Here is a 25,501-nt window from a genome sequence, read left to right on the forward strand (position 1 = left end):
GGCAGAGCTCGCAGTGAGTGAGCCAACATCACGCCACTGCACTCCAGCCTGGGCGAAAGAGAGAGACTCCGTCTCAAAAAAAAAAAAAAAATTTAAGATAAATATACATTACCACCTATACTTAAACCTGAGCAGAGGGATATTCTTGGCTGTATAGATTAAGACACCATTTAAATTCAAAGACAGGATGGTCAGACTGCAAACACTGGTCCACCTTCTAGTATAGTATGTGGAGATGGTATGGATGGAGGTGAATTCTGGAAAAAAAGGCTTGGGCTTATATGTAGAGGAATATATAGTTACATACTCAGCATTAGAAAGAGAAAAAACAAGGCTCTTAAGGAGTTCCACCTTCTGTTTTTCTTTAGTTTAACAAAACTATAAAATATACTCCAACTATATATTTTATTGTAAGAAGCTGAGTTTATATTACCAAAGATACTATATTATTAGGAAAGCTAACTTTAAATATGACTATTAATTCCATGTACATGAGGGACCTAGAGTAGATGAATTCAGAGAGACAGAAAGTAGAGTGGTGGTTGCCAGAGGCTGGAAGAGTGGGGATGAGGAGCTGTTGTTTAGTGGGTTTAGTTTCAGTTTTGCAAGATTAAGAGTTCTTTACAACAATGTCAAGTACTTAACAATACTGAACTATACACTTAAAAATGGTTAACATGGGCCGGGCACAGTGGCTCATGCCTGTAATCCCAGCACTTTGGGAGGCCAAGGTGGGCGGATCATGAGGTCAAAAGATCGAGACCATCCTGGCCAACATGGTGAAAACCCGTCTCTAGTAAAAGTACAAAAATTAGCTGGGCGTGGTGGTGCGTGCCTGTAGTGCCAGCTACTTGGGAGACTGATGCAGGAGAATTGCTTGAACCTGGGAGACAGAGGTTGCAGTGAGCAGGGATCGCACCACTGCACTCCAGCCTGGCAACAGAGCAAGACTCTGTCTCAAAAAAAAAAAAAAAAGTTAAGATGGTAAATTTTATGCTAAGCATATTTTATTACAATAAAAATATATTTTCTTTCTTAAAAATATGACTATGAAAAAATCTAATATTTTTGGGCTACTATGGAAATGCCTGCCATGTTCTGGCAAAACAGTGATTTTTTAATGACAAATGCCATGAAAAATAGTATGATGATCATAATGCAAACACGACCATTTTCTGTATTATTTAGGATAAAAAAAATGGGTCATAGAACCAGGGGAAGAAAGGTATCTAGAAGAGGAACTCTTACATCTTATCCTCTAATAATTAAAATACAGGTTCCGAACTTGTAGGTATAATTCTAGCTTATCCCATGCTTGTGGGGTGGCAACTAACATATTATTACCCCATTTCTGGGTACGACGTAGCAATGGATATATCCTATGAAACTACATAAGGATGGACAACCAGAATGGTAAACGGTATATCATATGAAGAACAAATGAATAAATTGAGAATATTTAACTTGTAAAATGGGAAAACATGTTAGCTACTTTAGGGCTTTGATGTGAAAGGAGTAGTAGAGGTACAGCTTAGCTTTAGCAATCACATTAAGTGTAGGTTCAACATAAAGAGCTTTAACTGTCTGCTAACAATGGCTACTTCCTTACTCTATCACTAGAAACACTCAAGAAAGGAATTAGTATGGACTCTTTGTACTAGGAATCCTGGGTTCTGGTTCTAGAATGTCAAGAAAATCATGTAATTTCTCTGGGCCTTAGTTCTTCCTCTGTTGGAACTGATAACCTAAATTGCTTGACAGATCTAAAAGATATTCTATAAAATTAAATGTTTAAATAATAAATTAAATAATAAATAAAATATTTAATAAATAACATAAATGGCAGGCATTATATTAAAATATAATATAGAAAATGGTCACTGCAAATGATCATATTGCATTATGATCACAATACTGTTTTTCATGGCATTTGTCATTAAAAATTAACTGCCCTCCACAACAGAAGAAAACTTAATCTCCTCCTCCTTCCCTGTATATCTATCTGTATCTATCTAGACAGACCTACCTACCTATCTTCCATCTGTCCGTCCACCCATCCATCCATCCAACAATTGAGACAGGGTCTTGTTCTGTCATCCAGGCTGGAGTGCAGTGGCAGTCATAGCTCACTGCAGTCTCCAACTCCTGAGCTCAAGTGATCCTCCCACCTTAGCTTGTGGAACTACAGAAAGGCACACAGCCACCATGCCTGGCTAATTAAAAACAATTTTTTTTTTTTGTAGAGACGGGGCCTTTCTATGTTTCCCATGCTGGTCTCAAACTCCTGGCCTCAAGCAATCCTCTCACCTTAATCTCCCAAAATGCTGGGATTACAGGTGTGAGCCACCAGGCCTGGCCTGTAACTTGTTACTTTAAACCTAAGACACTAAAAAGGATACTTTTTATTTAGTACATATTTTTCTATCCTACTTTTCAACAAACAGAACTACAGAAATGCCATGTAGACTATATTGGCATTATATAAACAATTAAATTTTAAAATTAAATTGAAAGACTATCCCTTCCGTTGAAATATGAAGTATTTTAACTTTCAATGATCTGAAAACAGCCAGAATGATCTCATATGCCATTTATCACAAATACCATAAAATCAGTGTAAAGCAAAATATGAATATAGAAGCAATTCTGCCTTATTAAGGGCAACCAGTCAGAAACAAATATAGTCATCCATAAATGCTAAAGAGGGAAAAGATAAAATAAATAAATAAAAGATCTGTGATAACAAGGGCCATTCATGATGACTCATAATGACTCATAATAATTTGGTTCAGGCCGGGCTTGGTGGCTCACGCCTGTAATCCCAGCACTTTGGGAGGCCAAGGTGGGTGGATCACCTGAAGTCAGGAGTTCAAGACCAGCCTGGCCAACATGGTGAAACCCCATCTCCACTAAAAATACAAAAAATTAGCCAGGCGTGGTGGCGGTCACCTGTAATCCCAGCTACTCGGGAGGCTGAGGCACAAGAATCGCTTGAACCCGGAAGGTGGAGGTTACAGTGGGCCAAGATTGTGCCACTGCACTCCAGCCTGGGTGATAGAGCAAGACTCCATCTCAAAAAAAAAATAAAAAAGTTTATTTCCCAAACAATGTCCTGCCTCCTAAAGATGCTTATTCAAAATAATATAAATAACATACTATTTCCACCACTTAAAGGCTTGCTTTGTCTGGGGTTGAAATACATTTTTGATGAATTTGTTCCTAATGAGATGATAGGACAGAAATCCAGCATTTAAGAATTTCATTTAAGTCCCAGGGCATGAGAGGTTCTATTTCTAGGTGAAAACAAAGAAACATTCTAATTTCTTCAAAATACAATCATGTGCTGCATGACATTATGGTGAACTGCATACATGACAATGGTCTCACAAGATTATTATAGCATATTTTTACTGTACTTTTTCTATGTTTAGATATATAAATACCTACCATTGTGTTACAATTGCTTACAGTATTCAGTACAGTAACATGCTATACATGTTTGTAGTCTAGGAGCAATAGGCTATACCATACAGCCTAGGTGTGCAGGAGACTACACCATCTGGTTTTGTGGAAATACATGCAAATCACCTAAAAATGCAGTTCTCAGAATGTATCCCTGGTGCTATGTGACACATGATAGTTAAATGCCAAAGCTAAACTAACTCTTCAATGTAAAATGAGTATCAATAACTAGAACTGGAGGACAGCATAAAATTTCAATATAGCAGAGAGGTTAAAAACACAGATTCTTGAATTTACGTCCTGACTCTTACTAGTTGTATATCCTCAAGCAAGTTACTTCCCCTGACTGAACTTCAGTCTCATCATCTGTAAAACAGGAATAACAATACCTGTTACAGGAATAACAAGAGTGTTGAGAACATTTCAGAACATTTGTGCAAGGTATATAAATATCAATAACAGCTATTATTACTTATAAGTATTAACTTGTTCCACCCAGAATACCACTGTAATTTTGAACACATAACTAACTCTTATTTGGATATGATGATTAAGTCACTTTGTTGAAAAATATGTAAGTCTTAAAAGTATTGGTTCTAGTATCATTCAGAAAGATTGTCTTTGTTTTCTTGTTCATCTCACTAAAATGTAATACCAAAATATCTCTTTTTTTTTTTTGGAGACAGGGTCTGCTCTGTCATCCAGGTTGGAGTGCATGAAGTGCAGTGGTGTGACCATAGCTCACTATAGCCTCAAACTCCTGGACTCAAGCAATTCTCCCAACTCAGCCTCCTGGGGAGTTGAGATTACAGGTGTGTGTCACAACAGCCAGTAAATTAAAAATTTTTTTTTGTAGAGACCAAGTCTTGCTGTTTCCCAGGCTGGTTTTGAACTCCTGGCCTCAAGTGATCCTCCCTTCTCGGCCTCTCAAAGTGCTAGGATTACAAGCATGAGCCACCACATCCAGCCCTCCCTATTTTTATTTCTGACTTTATGGCAAAGTTCAGGTTACCATTTAGATCAAAAATTTTTAAATCATTTTTTAAGTTTAAAGCATTCATAAAACCTATCAAAGTCTGATGGTCGTGGGGGTGGGAGATATGGTGGTGCTGAGAGTATTATATGTAGTAGAGCTACTGGACCCTAGACAATCTAATTCAACCTTTAGCTTGTATCCTGTTAACAAATATCCCTAGAAGAGAATGACTGAGAACTTCTCATGATCTCCAAGGCAGCCTATGCTAAGAAAATTCCAGTAATTGCCAGGTGTGGTGGCTCACCCCTGTAATCCCAGCACTTTGAGAGGCCGAGGCAGTGGATCACCTGAGGTCAGGAGTTCAAGACCAGCCTGGCCAACATGGCAAAACTCCATCTCTACTAAAAAATAAAAAATAAAAAATTAGCCCGGCGTGGTTGTAGGCGCCTGTAATCCCAGGTACTTGGGAGGTTGAGGCAGGAGAATAGCTTGAACCCGGGGAACGGAGTTTGCAGTGAGCCGAGATCACGCCACTGCACTCCAGCCTGGGTGACAGAGCAAAACTCCTTCTAAAAAAAAAAAAAAAAAATTCCAATAATTAAATAGTTCTTTACAAGGAGATGAATCTGCCTCTAGTGTCCACTCACTGGTTCTATCTAGTTCCACCTCCTGGGATTAGCATGGTCTAAATCTAACCCCTCCTCTTCAGAGCATTCCTTAAATTTATATGACTATTCCCACTTTTTCTCTGAAGCTAAATACTAGGGCTCCTTTTTAACACTTCCTCATATTTCAAGTACTCGCTTCATGCTCTAGCTGCTTTCCTCCATACCACCTTGGATTTAGTAAATACTAAAGCAGCACCCAGGATGAAACATAATATGATTATAAAAAGATGGGGAATGGGGAGCAAATCAGGATTATGACCCTCCTCTTCCTATTCTACTCTATACTTCAATGCAATCCAAGATTTCAGTTCCCTTTTGGACTGTTCCATCATTCAGTGGACTATATATTGTAATTCCAATGACTAAAACCTCCTTTTCCATAATCTAAGACCGTTTGGTATCCTGATCCTGCCATTTCAGCATATTATTTATCTTCCCCAACTTCTTAACATCTGCAAATTTAATCAGCACACCATCAGTGTCCTCATCTATATCATTAATTAGAAGATATGCCAAGAACAGAATCCTTTCAGGCAACAGTGCAAACAGTCTTCCAGGGTAACAATCTATTTATTTGTCAGCCCTCTCCGGGTAAGGCTGCTCAGGCAAAGTCCCTCACACTGAGCTATCATTCTGCCTGTATTTCTCCATCTTACAAGGACCTATGTGAAGCTGTCAAAATCCTTGTTGAAATAAAACCTCGGTATTTTCACAGAATTCTTTTGCTCTAATAAATTTTTAAAAAAGGAAATTAGTTCATTTAAATCAGTGACAGTTAAACTTTTTAGCAGTAAACACTTTTTGTTCAAATAAAATCTTCCCAGGAATCATAAAATTAAACACAGCTAATCAAAAGTATTTTAAAAGTATACATTTGTCTTATAGTATCGTATTTTAAAAATTATCTCATTACAGAATTGTCCAACCTGTGTTGTCAAAATAGGTTTTCTAAAGATTTACTGGTAATTATCAGTTGGATATTATCAGTATTACCACCCCAATAAACATTCAAAATGAATTTTAATGTGAAAAGCTTTGAAAGTTCCACATTAAAGAAAACTGCTAAACTTTACCTCCAAAATTATATTTATCTATTTTTATCTTTTATTTATTTTTTGAGACGGAGTCTCGCTTTGTTTCCCAGGCTGGAGTGCAGTGGCGTGATCTCGGCTCACTGCAACCTCTACCTCCCGGGTTCAAGCAATTCTCCTGCCTCAGCCTCCCCAATAGCTGAGATTACAGGTATCCACCACCATGCCCGGCTACTTTTTTTGTATTTTTAGTAGAGACAGGGTTCCATCATGTTGGCCAGGCTGGTTTCAAACCGCTGACCTCAAGTGATCTGCCCGCCTTGGCCTCCCAACGTGCTAGGATTACAGGCATGAGCCACCATGCCCAGCCTATTTATTTTTAAAAGACAGGTTTTTACTCTGTCACCCAGGCTGGACTGCAGTGGCTCACTGTAGCCTCCAGAGTACCCAGGACTAGAGGTGGACACTACCATGCCCAGCTAATTTTTTTTTTTTTTTTTGTAGACAGGTTGCCCAGGCTGGTCTCCAACTCCTGGGCTCATGCAATCCTCCCACCATGCTGAGATTACAGGCAGGAATCACTACGACTGGCCCAAAATTATACTTAAAAATTTGAGACAGGCATGCTCGCTTTGGCAGCACATATACTAAAATTTGAGCCAGGTGTGGTGGCCCACACCTGTAATCCCAGCACTGTGGGAGGCCGAGGTGGGCGGATGGCTTCAGCCCATAAATTCAAGATCAGCCTAGGCATCATGGAGAAATTCCATCTCTACAAAAATAAATAAATAAAAATAAATTAGCTGGGTGTGGTGGCATGCACCTGTGAAGTCCCAGCCACTCCAGGGGCTGAGGTGGGAGAATAGCTTGAGCCTGGGAGGCGGAGGTTGCAGTGCGAGTCGAGATCACCACACTGCACTCTGGCCTGGGTGAGAGAGGGAGAACCTGTCTCAAATGAATAACTACATAAAATTTAAATCAAATGTTTAAGACACCTCCAAAAGCAAACATTATGAAGACTCCTGACCTATATGACATTTTTTGTGTGTGAATCCACGGCGACTTTTAGTAATAATTATAACAGCAGTTACTTCAGATATTTGATATGTTCTAGTTACTTTGCCTAAATTCTCATTTAATTCTCACCCTAATGTCACAAGAGGAGCTAATTAACTGAGGAAACTATGCTCAAAAGGCCAAGTAACTTTATTGCAAGCCATTAAGTGGTAAAAACCATTTTCCAACCCAAGTCCTTCCAAACCTATAATCCACACATGCTACTGTTGATGCAGCTTCTCAAACCTTCCTTTCCTAAGTCTTTACAAATCTAACTCTTCCAAAGAACTGATGCAATTAAAGTTGCTGCACACCAAGTACTGCTGCTTTCCCTTTAAAATTTGGAAGATTTACCTCTTTCCACTCTTCCTGCCTCAAAGATGATTAAGAAATCTCACATGCAAGATTTTCTCAACATAAAAAAATATTGAGGGCAGAATGCCTGAACACAACTCAAATTTTTTTTTTTCTTTTTTTGAGACGGGGTCTCACTCTGCTGCCCAGGCTGGAGTGCCATGGCACAATGACACCTAACAGCAATGTGGACCTCCTGGGCTCAAGCGATCTTCCCACCTCAGCCCCTACCCCAGTAGCTGGGACTACAGGCACTGGCTAATTTTTTTGTAAAGATGGGGTTTCAGCATATTGCCCAGGTTAGTCTCAAACTCCTGAGCTCAAGCAATCTTCTGCCTCAGCCTCTTAAGTAGCTGGGACTACAGTTGTGCAACACCATGTCTGGCTGATTTTGTTTATTTTTTGTAGAGATGAGGTCTCCCTATTGCTCAGGCTGGTCTCAAATTCCTTGACTCAAGCGATCTGCCCTCCTCGGCCTCCCAAAGTGTTGGGATTATAGGTGTGAGCCACTGTGTGGCCAACTCCAGGTAATTTCTTACAGTAGCTTCATTTATCTTGACCTTCAAGTTCCTTTTGCCTAAAATACATTGTTTTCACTGTATTTTACATCATCCTGCTATTTACTTTAGGTTTTTTTTTTTTTTTTTTTTTGAGAGACAGTGTCTCCCTCTGTTGTCCAGACTGGAGTACAGTGGCATGATGATGGCTCACTACAACCTCTGCCTCCCAGGTTCCAGCGATTCTCCTGCCTCAGCCACCCCAGTAGCTGGGATTACAGTTGTGCACCACCACAGCTGGCTAATTTTTTTTTAAGTTTAGTAGAGAAGGGGTTTCACCATGTTGGCCAGGCTGCCCTCAAACTCCAGGACTCAAGCAATCCACCCACCTCGGCCTCCCAAAGTGCTGGGATTATAGGCGTAAACCACCACACCTGGCCCATCCTATTTACAATTTAAAATATCAAATTCCCTCTGGTTGTGGTAGCTCACGCCTGTAATCCCAGCACTCTGGGAGGCAGAGATGGCAGGATTGCTTGAGTCCCAGGAGTTCAAGACCAGCCTGAACCACACAGCAATAACCTGTCTCTTCTAAAAAAAATTAGCCAGGTGTGGTGGCGCACGCCTGTAGTCTCAGATACTTGGGAGACTGAGGTGGGAGGATCGCTTGAGCCCAGGAGGCTGATGTTGCAATGAGATCAGGCCACTGCACTCTAGCCTGAGCGACAGATTGAGACCCCATCTCAAAAAAATAAATAAAATAAATATAAAATTCACAACAAAGCCACAAGATATGAGAAAGCAAAAATAAAACCAAAATCCCCAATAGCATTATAGAAAAGAGCTCCTAATTTTTTCAAATCAGATGTTTCTAATTTCTGCAGAAAACGGAGGTGGGTAAAGGTGTTCTGAATGACTGAGCCAGACACATTTACTAGATCACAATCTCCTACTAAGTATATATATATATATATACTTAGTATGTATATATATATAAAACCAATATATTACCAACTTGTTAATGGTTTAGCCCCATGAACAAGTATTAACTCTTATAAGGCACTCCTTATTCCCAGGACTCAAGTTACTTTATTTCACAACTTACCATGTTCAGTTTCACCATATAGGAAAATGTTTTCTTTTAAAGTCACACACGGCCGGGCGCGGTGGCTCACGCCTGTAATCCCGCCTCAGGAGGCCGAGGCGGGCGGATCACTTGAGGTCAGGAGATGCAGACCATCCTGGCTAACACGGTGAAAGCCCGTCTCTACTAAAAATACAAAAAATTAGCCGGGCGTGGTGGCGGGCGCCTGTAGTCCCAGCTACTCGGGAGGCTGAGGCAGGAGAATGGCGTGAACCCGGGAGGCGGAGCTTGCAGTGAGCCGAGATCGCGCCACTGCACTCCAGCCTGGGCGACAGAGCGAGACTGTCTCAAAAAAAAAAAAAAAAAAAAAAGAAAAGAAAAGAAAGAAAAAGTCACATACAAATTTCAATGAGCATAAGATAAAGTATTTGATAAATAAAGTCAGCTAGGTTAGATTTTTCCCAGTGGAAGTTTAGTGTAAAACCTATGCAACTGGGGACAGAGAAACCTCTAATGTGTGAGACTGAAGGGGTCTCAGATGCGAAATTACTGAGTAGAGTCCCATGGTCTTGGAAACCTCGGTGGTGTCTTCCAAACTGTGTAACTCAATCGCTAGGGACAAACCTGTAGCCTGACAAATTTAGGTTTATTGACTGAATACAATGAAGGACAAGCACATCAGAGAAGTGTGAAGCATCTCATGTAACAGAAAAAATTACAGAATTTTGGAGAAGGGTAGAACTAAGATAAATGAAGCAGTATCTTGATAGACTATAAGCACAGAACTGTGTTAAAGGGATCAATATCAGGTCTGGACTGCAGAGTGGAACTAGGGTCCTATTTCCTGGGAAAGAAGTTAGGGTAGATGCAGAGTTTTGTGTTTAACAACCCCTTATCCAAAGCTCTGAAGTTGTAAATCAAAGCTAGTTCTCTGTGTCAAAATGACTTAGATCTTCCTGACAAAAGTGTGACGTTCATTTTTACTCAGAGAATTCCAAACAGTAAAGTTTCTGATAGTCTCTGATTTTATAGAACCAAGTTTCTCTGTAAGAGAGCAGTAGTCACTCAAGGAAGAGGGGTTGTTAAGAATCTCTAGAGCTGCAGCAAGTCCTTGGAAGACAAGCAGCTGTATGTTATCCCAGTGTAAGAGATAGCAGCACCGACTTTTACTCTTTCAGTGGAGCTAATATTTAGTTTCTTGAGTAGTTCATTTTCTAAGTCATTTTATTGTGACCTAGAACACTCCAACCAAAGGTAGCTGGAAGGGAAATCTCCCTGAAGATCGCCTTGCTTAGCACAGAACTGAACAGATACACAATTCAAATAATAGTAACACCTAAGAAGCACCTGAAAACTGCAATACCTAGTTGAAACACTCTTAAGCAGCCTGTGATCTCTTCATCTAAAGTGTTTCAAAGACCTACAATTAAGACCATTTAAATAGTAGTTATTTTAAAACATGGCAATATAACTGTATAACGATTAGTTTCACTTCCTAGAATCTAGACAGCAATAATTTTTTCCCAACAAAATAAAGGGGCGCCCAGTTTGACCGAAGTGGTCTTGTGCTAAAAAATAAAAGGTTTCCTCCTGGGGCCGGACGCTGTGGCTCACGCCTGTAATCCCAGCACTTTGGGAGGCCGAGGTGGGCGGATCACAAGGTCAGGGGATCGAGACCATCCTGGCCAACACGGTGAAACCCCGTCTCTACTAAAAATACTAAAAAATTAGCCGGGCGTGGTGGCGGGCGCCTGTAGTCCCAGCTACTCGCGAGGCTGAGGCGGGAGAATGGCGTGAACCCGGGAGGCGGAGCTTGCAGTGAGCCGAGATCGCTCCACTGCATTCCAGCCTGGAGGACAGAGCGAGACTCGGTCTCAAAGAAAAAAAAATAAATAAATAAACAAACAAATAAATAAAAGGTTTCCTCCTATTGTCCACAACATGTGAGTCTCCTAGGTGCAGTCTCCAGTCTCAACAATCCAAAAAGCTACTTCTGAATTTAGAGTAATACGGTCACATTCCTTTTACAGCTAGGAATTGTTTTTAAAATGCAAATTTAACACTTTTCAGCATGCTCAATACTTTTTAAGTTCAAAGTTTGCAAAGTAACCCATTTGGCCATGCAGACTGTAAGTCATACAACTCTAGAGGGACAACCTTCATGTAGAATGCGTAGGCGCAGTATCCCAGCGTTACACAGTATGGTGACTGTTACATTTTTGGGAAAAAACAGGCCAAAAAAACCCCAAAAACCAAAAACTTTTATTCAAAATTAGCTTTCTTTCTTAACTAACGGTGTTTTTTGGGCTGGAGGAAGCCAGTGAGAAAAAGTTTTGAAAATTGTAAAATGCTTTGTGACTGCAAGATACTATTACTCCAATGGAGTTCAACATCTCCACTATATAAACCCAGAAGAGGCTGAAATCCGTTTCCTGATACCCAGGGCTTCTTTTGTTGTGCCAGGATTATCTCTCCCCAATAATTAATCACTAATCGACTTAAAACACTAAAAACTCAACCACTTAACCTATTTGTAACCTCAGTCAAGTTAATCATTTCCTTCTAATTTTAATGCATTAAGTTTTACAATAGGCGTTAAACCTTTTTCAAATGCAATGGTTTTTCCTTTAGTCTTTTAATACATTGACTCACAGAAAGATTGTTTTGTTCTTGGGACAAACCCTACTTGATCACATATATTTTTAATACAGTTCTCACTTAACGTCACTGATAGGCTCTTGGAAAGTGGAGCCTTAAGTGAAATGTTGCAGTAGACCTTTCTCATCGACCTTGTAACACAACATTATTAAAAAACCTGTTTACTGTATATCATGTTGCTTAAAGTTAGAAGTTTCCAAGAGCCTACTGATGACAGTGAGTTAGTGTACTCATTGGTTTCAGTTAGCTAATTGTCTGTTTAGCATTTTTGCATCCATATTTTTATGTAAAATGAGCCCCTCATTCCCTTTTTGTCCTTTAGGTGGCTTTGGAATCACCTAGTTAAGGGGAAACGCCCTCATATTTTGAAACGTATAAACTTAAAACAATGCCACCTTTTTCTCGGCAAAGGTTCACACTAAATACTCCACTGGTTTTTCCTCCTGTCAGGTGTATCTCCCCTTAATCTCTTCACATTTTCTCCTCTTCCTCCCTAGAAAATTAGGCCTCCCCACAACAAAAGTTCTATTATGAACTGTAACTTGCTCCAAAGAAGACAAAATGTGCTAACACCGTGACAAAGTGTACCCTGTGACAATGTCACATTGAAAAGATCACGAACTGGCTTTGGGTTGTTCACAGTGGGATACAAATTCCTGCTTCATCTCTTAATAGTTAGGTGAACTGTGTAGTTACTTTTTTTATCCTAACCTCAGGCCTAACATATGAAATGAGGATAACATATGCCTTTAAGAGTTGTGCATGATTTTGAAATATGTATAAAGTACCTGGTGGAATTATTTGGCATCTAAGAGTTGCTCAGTAATTGCTAATTCTACTAAGTGAGGAAGTGATTTTTTTTCAGCTCATGCTGTTAAATGTCCTCAATCCACCAACCCACAATTTAGAAATCCAAAAAGTTCTGAAAATTAAGTATTTTCATAACTTACATGGTGGCAAAATATGATGACCTAAATGTGAGGCCTTTCATATCTCAGTGTGAAAATTCCTAAGTTCACTAGAGTTTTTTTTTTTTTTTTTTTGAGACGGAGTTTCGCCCTTGTTGCCCAGGCTCCAGTGCAATGGCGTGGTCTCGGCTCACTGCAACCTCCGCCTCCTGGGTTCAAGCGATTCTCCTGCCTCAGCCTCCTAAGTAGCTGAGATTATAGGCATGCGCCACCACGCCTGGCTAATTTTGTATTTTCAGTAGAGACGGGGTTTCTCCATGTTGGTCAGGCTGGTCTCGAACTCCCGACCTTAGGTGATCTGCCCGCCTCAGCCTCCCAAAGTGCTGGGATTACAGGCATGAGCCACCGCGCCTGGCCCTCACGAGAGATATTAATGTGATTGTTTACAGGAGTACTACCCTAAACTAGTGATGGTACATTACTATACAGTACATGCATCCTGTTACCTTTTGGGAATTCCACATTTTTCAAAAATTTTAAACCACATATGGCCCCAATGGTTTCAAACTAGGAATGTGGACTTCTAATACACTCTCTGTAAAATCAAATACTGTATATACAAATAGTAAAAAGGAGAATGACTAAGATTTATGCAGTCTAAATCCAGCCTTGATATTATCTCTACACTAACTCCTTGGGTTCAAAGTCATCACTGGTAAACTGAAGGAACGGGACTTAAGTTCTTTCTAGCTTATTTTTTTAATTTAGTACTTTTAACTATCTCTCTCAGCCTGAGCAACATGGTGAAACCCTGTCTACAAAAAATTAGCCAGGCGTGGTGGGCCACACCTATAGTCCCAGCTACCTGAAAGGCTGAGGTGGGAGGATCACCTGAGCCTGAAAGGTTGAGGATGCAGTGAGCCTGTGATCGCACCAGTGCACTCCCGCCTGGGTGACAGTGAGATCCTGTCTCCAAAAAAAAAAAGTATCTCTGAAAATTATTTTAAATATTGAGTTGAGCAAAAACGCTAAGTTAAACATTTTGGCTGTTTTTCCTAAAATGTTTTAAACAGCTAAAAATCAATGTGTATGGAATGTATTCACCATTGAGGAGATATTAAAAAAAACCTGACCATCTTCACACTGAATACTAGGCAAGAAAGATTAGTACCATGGAAAAAAAATGCTAGTTTTGTATTCAGATCTGAGCTCAAACCTTAGCTCTGCTATCATAGCTCTGTAACTGTAACATATTCTTTAAGCTTGTTTTGTCATGTTACATGGTGATAAAGAAAAATACTTGTTACAGGGTTGTAATAAGGATAAAACAAAGTGAAAACCTCTAGCACAGTTCCTGACTGCATTTTTTCTCAATGTTTGTTGAAAATGAAAACATTTTAAACATTTAAAATGAAAATTTTAAACACTGTAATTTTCAGGTAATTAATTACATGTATGTTGAGCAAAAGTGAATACTTTTCTTATAAAAGTAACTTTCCGGCCGGGCGCGGTAGTTCACGCCTGTAATCCCAGCACTTTGGGAGGCTGAAGTGGGTGGATCGCCTGAGGTCAAGAGTTCGAGACCAGCCTGGCCAACATGGTGAAACCCTGTCCCTACTAAAAATACAAAAGTTAGCTGGGTGTGGTAGTGGGCACCTGTAATTCCAGCTACTCTGAGGCTGAGGCAGGAGAATCACTTGAACCCGGGAGGTGGAGGTTGCAATGAGCCGAGATTGCACCATTGCACTCCCGCCTGGGCAACAAGAGGGAAATCCCATCTCAAATAAATAAATAACTCCCCCATTATTCAGGCATTGTAAATTATGTATCTTTGATGGCATGTCTTTGAAGGAATTATGTCTTTTTAGAGGAAACTGACAGGTAATTTTAAAAAGTATAGATCCAAGGTTAATAAACTCACTTCTCTCTCTCTCTCTCTCACACACACACACACACACACACACACACACACACTAGAGAATAAGAGAATGAGCCAGTCTCATCTACAACCATATTAAACTTGTGTCTTCATGTGCACATTTGGTAACACATTTTGAACTACCTTGAATTTTCAAGTTTCTAGTTTTTCTCTTTAGCTGAGGACTTCTTGAAACCAATTGTTTTGGGGGAGAGAATATTTTTAGAATCCAGGCATGGCCCAAACAATTCTCTTTGAAAAGAAAGCAAACTGGAATCCTGGGAAAGCCGTTAATTCTCAACACTACTTATAAACATGACAAACAATAAAATAAATTCTATAACAACTTGTAAGAGCTTATGTTTTCACATCTAAATTTTCAATGGTAAGGTTCCTTACAATCTCAAGTGTTAAACAAAAGGTATCAAGCACACTTAGGTTACAAGGAGAAGCAAAAAGATTGGTTTGAGCAACCTGGATCACTTTCAATAAGGGAGGAGGATCTCTGGAGAGTGTAACAGCTGAATTTCAAGAAATCTGGTTTCTAGTTTGGGCAAGTCAGTAAATCTGAGCTTTCTTTCTCACCTCTTACAAGTAATGGCATTTTCCTTCCTTCCTCACAAAGTTGACTCATGAAAGCACTTAAAAAAGTTAAAAATGTTACATACTATGTTCTTTAATCAGCACTAATAACATTAATATTGATCGGGCAGAAGGTACAGCGATCATGCGGGTGGGGACCAGAATTGGGAATTGGGAATTGGGAAATCTAGGTTCTCAGCCCAACATTTGCACCTGCTAGTTCGTGATGCAAGGCACCTCACTTATCCAGGTCCCCATTAAACTAGGTTTAATAAAGTGAGTTTGCCTAAACCTCTTCCTAGCTCCAAGGCTAATTTTAAGCTATTAATTTGAATCCAAGGCCTAAAATATTTGAGCTCTCATTTAACAGTCGGCCACTGCAAAGGGTAAAGACAGCAATCTTGTATGAACAAAGTTAAACATAACGTGCTAGACACAGGTCTTTGCAAAACCATGCAGTAGCCAATAGGTCCACCATACCACCCTTCATTTGGAAATTGATGCTAAGGTGCCATAGGTACATTTCCAAATGCTCTTAAAATGTTTAGGTTCATATTAAAATAAAAATGGATATTTATGGTACAATGAGAACCAGAAAAACTGCAAAATTATACACAGGCCTAAGGGCAGAAATACCCCAAAAGACGACACAGTGACAATATTTTCCAACTTGTGCTTTTTTGTTTTTAAAACAAGGCTGATGATTCTGAAATCAGGTCAATGTCTATCACTTTTTTCGTTGATGTTAAATGCACTAAGGGAATATAGATTCTTCAATTATACTTTGAAACAACATCATTTCCCTAAGTCAGGACTTTTTTATTGCAAAATTTAACAAACCACCAAACTCAAGTTTAATTATTTCTGCTTTATTATTGGTCATGAATAAAGACTTCTTTTAAAAAATAATTACAAAGAATTTATGACTAAAATATACTCCGTAACCAACTTGCTCTGAAATTAATAATTTGAAAATGGCAAAGAAAAAAAAAAACAGCCCACAACATATTAACTTCACTCTTCAATTAGGGGAAATAAACAAGGTCAAAATTAGTTTAAACAACATACTGAGTAATAAAAAAGTTGTGCAGAAGTCCCAATGCCTCCAAAAAACTGATAGAATGTGCTTAATATATATATCCCCACATGGTAACATAAAAAATCCAAGTTTTCCAGTAAAAATGTTCTGTTCATGTTCCAATACCTAAATCTGGGAAAACAAATTCAGGCAGATGAGATAAGAACGTCACCACAATAAAATAAAGTCATCAAAACTTAGTGAACTAAAATTTAAAAGGTAGAGGAATTATTTTTCCTAATTTGACCTAATTTGACCACACAGTAATTACTTCCAGAAGACAAAAGATCCAATCCAGGTAAAATAAATCTTTATTTTATTATTTTACCTGATCCTAAAGAAAATATTCTACGTGAGTTGATGGATACATTGGTCAAGTTTTATGCCAAAAAAATTACGCAAACTATACTCTGAAAGAGCTATCCAGACTCCTTGCCAAAAGGCCAGCATAACTTTCAGAGTAGAGATCGTGAGTTACCACAGATGCTGATTGAAACAGAGCTAACAGCAGCTTTCTCCTCATTCCCACCCCGTGTGTAGGAGTACGCAGTCTCATACCACCACCAGTTGGAGGATGATCTAGTCTGGAGACAGAACGGTGTAGAACAAAACCCTTGCCAGGGTCCCAAACCTCTCTTTAGAACTCTAATTAAAGGTACTTCCGTTTCCCACACAACTTGGAATGAAGGGGAAGCAACGACTGTTAAAACATTTAAAAACTAAGCCTTTATCTATTTATTTAGAAAACACACTATGCAAAGAAGCCAATTCCTTACATTAAAAATATTTATTTGCAACAGCTCTCCTTTTTAAGGCCTCAACAGATTGGACTAAACCACACCCCTCCATAAATGGCACATTCCATACAATAGCCTGGAGAATGGCATAGGACGATTCCACCGACAGCTGGGGGAATAGCAAACTTGTTGAAATTCCGAGAATGAAGTCTGATGGTTACCCGAACCTAGCCCTTTTATTACTAAAGTCACTCGGGGACAAGAGGGTTACAAAAATATCCCGAGACGCGTACGCGGGTGAGAGTGGAACGAGAACCACACGGGATTTGGGCCGTGCTGTTAACCCGCACCTCCCTGAGTACGGACATTTCCCCGAGGAAGGACATTTCTAGTCGGAGAGAAAGAGCGAACTTTGGGGTTAACTCTCTCAAAACTCTGAGGTGGGGAGAGAGGCAGCAGCCCATTATTTTCCAGGATCCAGTCCCGAACTCTCACTTTTGCCCGGGGGGAAAAAAACGGGTCCCGCCCACGCTCGGCCCGATCCGGGAGGCGGGGCCTGCAGCGACCCCGAAGGACAGAGGCGGGGCCGGTTGGCAGTGCTGCCCCTCCCCCTTTGCCAGGAACACCCCCGTCCGCTACAGAGAGGGCTCAGGGCCCCCACCCCCGCGCCAGTCGCTGGGGGAAGGGGCAATACGGGTGCCTCCGCCCCTCCTCGCTGAAGGTGGGGAGTGGAGCTCGAGTCCGCCCGCCTCCCCGCGCTGGCTCCAAGGGGACGGCCCCGAGGAGGTGGGGCCTCTTGGGGGCGCTGACTTCACACCCCTCCCCCTCCGGCCGCTGGCGGCTCAGGGACACCCCGCCCGCTCTAGTGCGGTGGGTGGGGGAGGCAGCTGAGCAGACCGGAGCCCTGCAGCGGCGCGGGGCGGGGAGGGGCGCGCGCACGGGCGCGCAGCCACCACCCCCGCGCGCCAGCAGGGCCCCCCACGCTCAAGGGTGCGCGCGGGCCCCGAAAGGGAGGAGGCCGCGCGCGGCACCGGGGATGGCGGACTCTAGCCTTCTGTCCCCCACTCTTTTCACCACTCGCCCCCATCCCCCTCCAACCCGCTCCAGGCCTCAGACTCCGCACTGACCTGACAGGCCGCGACATGTTCGCTGTCGAAACAGGACCGAGTCGAGAAGCCAAAGACCAGGACCCCCCCCACCCCGCGCGCTCGGCGCCCCACCCCCCCCGAACTTCAGCCGATGGGACCGCTGCTGCCGAACCCCGAGCTGCTGGCTTCTCAAACTCCGCTGCTCTTTGGTTCAGGGCTCCTGGAACAGACGAGCCCCCCGCTCCCCCGTCTCTTCAAAATGGATGAATCAAACCAGCCGAAAATGCGCCAAAGCCGCCGTGCAACCAAACCCACTAGGGTTTGTGCGCTCCTCCCCAACACGCCTGCTCATTGGAGACTTCTGCCAGATGCGCCCAGATCATTAGTCCGTTTGAATCATCACGTCTTCCAGGCCCCGCCCTGCTCTCTGATAGGCTCCACCTTCACCGTGGGGGTCCTGTTAGTCAAGATGCTCTGAGAGCGCACGGCCGCAAAACAAAAATGGTCGCTGCTTAGCCCGCCCCCTGGTTTCCACTCCAGAGTTGCAGATTCGTCTGGGGTCGTATCTTAGAAAGACTAGAAAAAAAGATTTATGTAGGGTTCAGCGTTGCTCAGTGTTAGTTTAATGGTGTTTCATCTCGTCTGCCTTGATCACCTTGAAAATCCTCTAATAGCAAAACCCGTGGGAGAGGCAGCAGATTCGTCACTGCGGGGCTGCTACAGAATTGGAGGGAAATTCCTTAGGTTCAAAAAATTTGACCTTAAACCTACAAGCCCCTTACCCTGGCTTCGGCATTAACCCTCAGGGACCAAATGAGGCTGCTGGAGTAGAGAGGCAGGATCATAATCAAGGAATATCTTCACCCCCAATTACCATTCTCCATTCTGGACCTTGAGATCCACTTCAGGGTCATTAAAGTCCCAGTCTGGTGCATTACTATTTTAAGAAAAGAGTCAGGTGTACAATAACTAAGAGCATGAGCTCAGGGGCCACAAGGTATTTCAGGTGGAATCCCAGGTCCACTACTTAATGGTGGTATAACTTTCCTTCTCTGTGCCTCAGTTTTCTCATCTGTAAAATGGGAAACAAGGGTACCTAACTGCATAGGCTTATTAGTATTAAATGAGTTGATATATCTATCAAAAGTCTTTAGGATAGTCTCTGGCTCACAGTAAGTGCTACGTAAGTGTTAAATCCAAGTTTTAAAAGATGATTCCGTCCCTGGGTAGAGATGGGTGGAGCTGGCTCAAGACCCTATGAATTCTATTGATTTACCCTTGCACTTTGAAAAACAAAACAAAGACTCTTCGAAGTCATATAACTGAAAGTAACGCACATCATTTCACTTAAATCCGTGAGCATTTGTTGGATGCCTAATACTCTCAAAGGCAGAGCTCAGGATTCCTATGTGAATGGCTAAGGCTGAGTCTGCTATCGAAAATAGACGTCAATCCCTGTCACAGTCAAAGCGATCATTTTTGTTTGGTGGCTGTGCGCTCTCAGAGCATCTTGACTAACAGGACCCCACGGTGAAGGTGGGGCCTATCAGAGAGTAGGGTGGGGCCTGGAAGACGTGATGATTCAAACGGACTAATGATCTGGGCGCATCTGGCAGAAGTCTCCAATGAGCAGTCAGTTAACAACCAATTGAAGATACACTTTCCAAACAACAACAACAAAAAACACACCACATCTGCCTCCTGAAAGTCTCCCTTTGTAAAATCTGGCTTCCCAAAAAGAAGAGAATAGCACAGTCCACCAGTGAAGCATTAAACAAATTAATATCTTTTGTCTCTTCCATGTCATTCCACCCTCTGTCCCTCTTATTTTTATTTTTAATTTTTATTTTTTCGAGACGGAGTCTCACTCACTATGCTCCCCAGGCTGGATTGCAGTGGCACGATCTCTGCACACTGAAACTTCCACCACCCGGGTTCAAGCGATTCTCCTGCCTCAGCCTCCCAAGTAGCTGGGATTACAGGCGTGCTCCACCATGCCCAGCTAATTTTGGTATTTTATTGTGGAGATGGGGTTTCACCATGTTGGCCAGGCTGGTCTTGAACTCTTGACCTCAAGTGATCTGCCTGCCTTGGCCTCCCAAAGTGCTGGCATTACAGGAGTGAGCCACCGCACCCGTCCCCCGCAATTTTTTTAAATTGTGGTTAAAAAAAAAATACATAACATAAATGTACCACTTTAACTGTCTCTAAGTGTACAGTTAAGTGGCGTTAAGTACATTCACATTGTTATGCAACCATCACCACGATTCAACACCAGAACTTTCTCATTTTCCCAAACTGAAACTCTGTGCCCATTAAACACTAACTCCCCACTTTCCCCCTTCCCCATAGCCGCTGGCAACCACCATTTTACTTTCTGTCTGTATGAACCTGACTGCTCTAGGAATCTCATGTTAGTGTAATCATACAGTATTTGTCCTTTTGTGACTGGCTTATTTCACTTAGCATAATGGCATCCAGGTTTATCCATGTTGTAGCAAGTGTCAAAATTTCCTTTCTCTTAAAGGCCAAATAATATTCCACTGTATGTATATGCCACATTTTGTTTATCCACTCATCCATCAATGGACACTTGGGTTGCTTCCACCTTATGGCTATTGTGAATGATGTTGCTGGGCAAGTGGGAGTACAAATATGTTTGAGTACCTGCTTTCCTTTCTGGATATATACCCAGAAATGGAATTGCTAGATCATACAGCTATTCTGTTTAATTTTTTGAAGAATTGCCGTATGGATTCTCCATCAGCTGTATCATTTTACACTCCTACCAGCAATGTGCAAGTGTTCCAATTTCCCCATGTCCTTGCCAACAGTAAGTTTTTTACAATAGCCATCCTAATGAGTGTCCATATACGGTTTTTTTTTTTTTTTTTGAAACGGAGTCTCGCTCTGTTGCCCAGGCTGGAGTGCAGTGGTGCGATCTCTGCTCACTGCAAACTCCGCCTCCCAGGTTCACGCCATTCTCCTGCCTCAGCCTCCCAAGTAGCTGAGACTACAGATGCCCGCCACCACGCCTGGCTAATTTTTGTATTTTTAGTACAGACGGAGTTTCATTACGTTGGCCAGGCTGGTCTCAAACTCCTGACCTCAGGTGATCCACCCGCCTCGGCCTCCCAAAGTGCTGGGATTACAGGCATGAGCCACCACGCCCAGCCTTTTTTTTTTTTTTAGATAGAGTCTAGCCCTGTCACCTGGTCTGGCTCACTGCAGCCTCTACCTCCCGGGTTCAAGCAATTCTCCTGCCTTAGCCTCAGAGTAGCTGGGATTACAGGCATGCGCCACCACACCTGGCTTTTTGTATTTTTAGTAGAGACGGGGTTTCACTATGTTTGCCAGGCTGGTCTCGAACTCCTGACCTCAAGTGATCCACCCACCTCAGCCTCCCAAAGTGCTGGGATTACAGGCGTGAGCCACCGCGCCCGGCTCCATATATGTTTTGACTAAGTGTATTACCATCCCCACTATTGTCAGAATGCCAGGGCAGAAACTTGGGTGGCAGAGTGATCACCAAGTGGCTTTGGTGGAGGCTCTTTTATTAGGCCAAATTGTTATTATTTTAGTAAACATCATTATTTGGTATTGTGAGATGGGGCAGAGGAATTCTTGTTACTCATTTATTAGGTAGTGAACAGAAATGACCATAGTCAACATTTGCAGGCAGGTGGAAAGTTCAGAATAGGTCTTCAGGTTGTTGGCCTGATAGTGTAGTGCAAGGCCAGTATACAAATGGCCACTGAGTGAAGACTCTCCTCCTTCCAAGTTCAGCCTCATATCCTACCTTTCTCTTCACTGCAGCTTCAGCTAACATCTTCCTTCCATTTGCTCATTTATTCACTTAGTATTGCAATCAACATCGTCTCTCAGGGAAGAAATAACTTAAGACTTGAACTTCGAGTTTACTTTTTAGTGGACAAGTACAGAACTATGGCCAGTAGTGCCAAAAGAACGTGGAATGCAGTCTCCAAGGTCAGTTCCCTCTAATCTGTACCCCAGTGATCTGCCCTGTGTACCTGTTTTAACCACAATCAGTTTGCTGGAAACTGAAGAAGGACACTGATCATAGGATAGGTCAGGTTTTAGAAGCACTATCTGATAACCCCGAAGGGACAATATGTGTAATAAAACTAGGAGAAACTATGAAAACAGAAAAGCCTCAGGAGACAGAAAAGGCGGAATTATTCCTTTTCCCTGGAAATGAAATCTCATGGCCTTTTAAACACAGTGCTTAATTTTCCCCTGTGATTTTTAGTTATGTTTTGAGAAGTACCATTTTCCTTCTCCTTCACATATGTTAGACAGTAAGAACTGGCAGTGCTGGGATGGTAAGACTGATGGGTTTTCCACATACCCAACAAAAACCCATTTCCATCAAGGGCTACACTATAGCAGCTGAGAGCTTCATAAAAATTTTTCAGCATTGTGTGCTGGGCACTTCCAGTTCTGTGATCTCATGAAAGTCAACCAACCAGGTCTAAAGACAGAGACTGCTTCCACAGAGAACAGGACCACAGAAGGGTACCACTCTTTGGAGATGCTGCCAGGAAGTTAAAGAAACCTCCAACTCTTTTTTTAAAAATTTTTTATTTTTAAATCTTCTACCTCCAACCTGCTGGCTCTCTCTGTACTACCACTCTAGAAGACAGGATGGGATAGAAGAACTGTGTGTATTAGGTCTGTCTCTCTACAACCCCAGAGACTGAGTAGCCTGCTTGGAGATAGATCCGTGATTAGAGGAAATTTTCCCTTGTCTTCTTTTTCTCAAGTGTGTATTTCTTTGCTCCAGATTCCCATCTTCCTCTCTACTTTGAATATTAAGAGCTAAGCTTAGGTGATTTTGTACTACTAAAACAATAAAGATGTACAACTCAATATCCAGTTTAAATTGAAGAAAAATACAACAAGACTAACTTACTGTTTTGCTGGACACAAAATCCATAGAAAACTTGTCATTGTAACACTGAGGGAGAGACAGCTTTATCTATGCAAACCACTGACAAATATTGTGAGGTGAACACTGCTGAAAAGCGAGGCCCCAAGGTAGAACAAAAAGAGCACTGAACTTGTAATCAAGATTATCTGTCTCTGAGCTTGTAATTTACTACCTATGTCCTTTAGCAAATTTCAAACTCCCTGTGCCTCAGCTCCTTCATCTGTGAAATGGAGATAATTATACTGGTCCTTACCCACTTCACAAGGTTAGCATAATAACAAGAAAAAAAAAAAGGGATCACTTGCGAAAGTAGTTTGTAGACTGTGAAGCACTATGAGCGGTAGAATGGGATCACATTCGCTTCACTAAAGGAAAACCCCAAATTCCGATAGCTGACTTATTCCTCCAACAGAATACAACCATCCCTGAATACTGGTAACAGTTAAAAAAACTGCTCAGCAGGGCGCGGTGGCTCATGCCTGTAATCCCAGCACTTTGGGAGACCAAGGTGGGCGGATCACGAGGTCAGGAGTTCGAGACCAGCCTGGCTAACATGGTGAAATCCCGTCTCTACTAAAAATACAAAAATTAGCTGGGTGTTGTGGTGCACACCTGTAATCCCAGCTACCAGGGAGGCTGAGGCAGGAGAATGACTTGAACCCAGGAGGTGGAGATTGCAGTGAGCCGAGATGGTGCTACTGCACTCCAGCCTGGATGTCAGAGCAAGACTCCATCTCAAAAAAACAAAACAAAACAAAACTGCTTACAGCTTCCAGATGAGATGAAGAAAAGGTGCAGTAATGAGGAGTGATGACCATCAGCTTGCAGCACTGCGATACACTTTCTGTTTCATATAGAGAGACAATGACATTCTCTACCTCCCAACTATTCCTAGGAGAATTAAGCTGCTCCAACCATGACCATATAGGCATGATTTCACCAACTAGTGCCAGCCTTTCTACTTCTGTATTGGTTCCAGCTCGGTATCCCTAACTGCCTAACAGGTATTTCCACTTGGATGTCCACAAGCTCAATTTATTTATGTCAAAAAAAATCATCTTTCCCACCCACATTATTTTCCTGACTCTATTCCTGTCCTCTGTATCATTTTCCCCTGTCAGTTTTATTGAGGTATAATTGACAAATAAAAATTGTATATATTTAAGTTGTACATTGTGATGTTTTGATACATTATGAAATGATTATCCAATCAAGCTAATTAACATGTCCATGGCCTCAGTTATCTTTTTTTGGTGTAGTGAGAATACTTAAGATCTACTCTCCAAGCAAATTTCAAGTATATAAAATATTAACTATAGTCACCATGCTGTACATTAGGTCTCCAAAACCTGTTCATCTTATAACTGCAAGTTTGTGCCCTTTGACCATCATCTCCTCATTTTTCCCATCCTCTGACCCCTGGTAGCCATCCTCTACTCTCTTTTTCTATGAGATCCACTTTTCTGAGATTCCACACACTGGATAAACGAGATCATGCAGTATTTGTCTTTCTATGCCTGGCTTATTTCACTTAGTATAATGTCTTCCAGGTTCATCCATGTGGTTGCAAATAGCAGAACTTCAAGAAGGCTGAATAATATTCTGTCGTGTGTATGTAGGTATATAAACACACATATCACATTTTCTTTATCCATTCATCCACTGACAATCTGATTCCATATCGTGGCTATTGCAAATAATGCTGTGATGAACATGGGCATGCAGATACCTCTTTGAGATACCAATTTCATTTTCTTTGGATATATATCCAGAAGTGGGGCTGCTGGATCATATGGTAGTTCTATTTTTAAATTTTTTGAGGAACCTCTATACTGTTCTCCACAATGGCTGTACCAATTTACATCCCACTAATGATGTATAAGGGTTCCCTTTTTTCCACCTCCTCACCAACACTTGTTATCGTTTGACTTTTTGAGAATAGCCATCCTACCAGGCGTGAGGTGGTATCTCATTGTGTTTTGTTTTTTTTTGTTTTTGTTTTTTGAGATGGAGTTTCACTCTTGTCCCTCAGGGTGGAGTGCAATGGTGTGATCTCGGCTCACTGGTTCAAGAGAGTTTCCTCCCTCAGCCTCCCAAGGTAGCTGAGATTACAGGTGCACACCACCACATCTGGCTAATTTTTGTATTTTTAGTAGAGACGGGATTTTATTACGTTGGCCAGGCTGGTCTGAAACTCCTGACCTCAGGTGATCCACCCACCTTGGCTTCCCAAAGTGTGCCCGGCTCATTGTGGTTTTGATTTGCATTTCCCTGATGACTGTGATGTTGAGCACCTTTTTCATATACCTGCTGGGTGTTTGTTGGGTGTTTGTATGTCTCCTTTGGAAAAATGTCTATTCAGGTCCTTTGTCCATTTTTTATTTGGGTTATTTGGGTTTTTTTTTTTTTTTTTTTGCTATTGAGTTGTATGAGTTCCTTATATATTTTGGATA

The 25,501-nt window shown here is 41.6% G+C and overlaps 1 protein-coding gene across 2 annotated transcripts in view, besides 6 other annotated features; it reads right to left on the reverse strand.

Moving 5' to 3' along the window:
* NUCKS1 (nuclear casein kinase and cyclin dependent kinase substrate 1) overlaps positions 1–18,362 on the reverse strand; it is a 37,361-nt gene extending 18,999 nt beyond the window's left edge. For both annotated transcript variants that reach the window (XM_005245453.2, NM_022731.5), the window contains exon 1: positions 18,137–18,362. In XM_005245453.2, coding sequence (XP_005245510.1) covers positions 18,137–18,153 — 17 coding nt within the window. In that variant the 5' untranslated portion in view covers positions 18,154–18,362. The remainder of the gene's footprint in view (positions 1–18,136) is intronic.
* Positions 8,004–8,609: an enhancer, noted in NCBI's record as "H3K27ac hESC enhancer chr1:205708952-205709557 (GRCh37/hg19 assembly coordinates)". NCBI's record gives its function as "activates a minimal SCP1, AML or CMV promoter by ChIP-STARR-seq in primed H9 embryonic stem cells {active_cell/tissue: H9 hESC(primed)}" and the evidence as "EXISTENCE:reporter gene assay evidence [ECO:0000049][PMID:30033119]".
* Positions 8,610–9,216: an enhancer, noted in NCBI's record as "H3K27ac-H3K4me1 hESC enhancer chr1:205709558-205710164 (GRCh37/hg19 assembly coordinates)". NCBI's record gives its function as "activates a minimal SCP1, AML or CMV promoter by ChIP-STARR-seq in primed H9 embryonic stem cells {active_cell/tissue: H9 hESC(primed)}" and the evidence as "EXISTENCE:reporter gene assay evidence [ECO:0000049][PMID:30033119]".
* Positions 10,320–10,923: an enhancer, noted in NCBI's record as "H3K4me1 hESC enhancer chr1:205711268-205711871 (GRCh37/hg19 assembly coordinates)". NCBI's record gives its function as "activates a minimal SCP1, AML or CMV promoter by ChIP-STARR-seq in primed H9 embryonic stem cells {active_cell/tissue: H9 hESC(primed)}" and the evidence as "EXISTENCE:reporter gene assay evidence [ECO:0000049][PMID:30033119]".
* Positions 10,924–11,526: an enhancer, noted in NCBI's record as "H3K4me1 hESC enhancer chr1:205711872-205712474 (GRCh37/hg19 assembly coordinates)". NCBI's record gives its function as "activates a minimal SCP1, AML or CMV promoter by ChIP-STARR-seq in primed H9 embryonic stem cells {active_cell/tissue: H9 hESC(primed)}" and the evidence as "EXISTENCE:reporter gene assay evidence [ECO:0000049][PMID:30033119]".
* Positions 17,536–18,135: a silencer, noted in NCBI's record as "silent region_1748". NCBI's record gives its function as "represses an Ori minimal core promoter by ATAC-STARR-seq in GM12878 lymphoblastoid cells {active_cell/tissue: GM12878}" and the evidence as "EXISTENCE:reporter gene assay evidence [ECO:0000049][PMID:35858748]".
* Positions 18,556–18,805: an enhancer, noted in NCBI's record as "active region_2388". NCBI's record gives its function as "activates an Ori minimal core promoter by ATAC-STARR-seq in GM12878 lymphoblastoid cells {active_cell/tissue: GM12878}" and the evidence as "EXISTENCE:reporter gene assay evidence [ECO:0000049][PMID:35858748]".

Source organism: Homo sapiens, chromosome 1 (genome assembly GCF_000001405.40).
Source record: "Homo sapiens chromosome 1, GRCh38.p14 Primary Assembly".
Classification (NCBI taxonomy): Eukaryota; Metazoa; Chordata; class Mammalia; order Primates; family Hominidae; genus Homo; species Homo sapiens.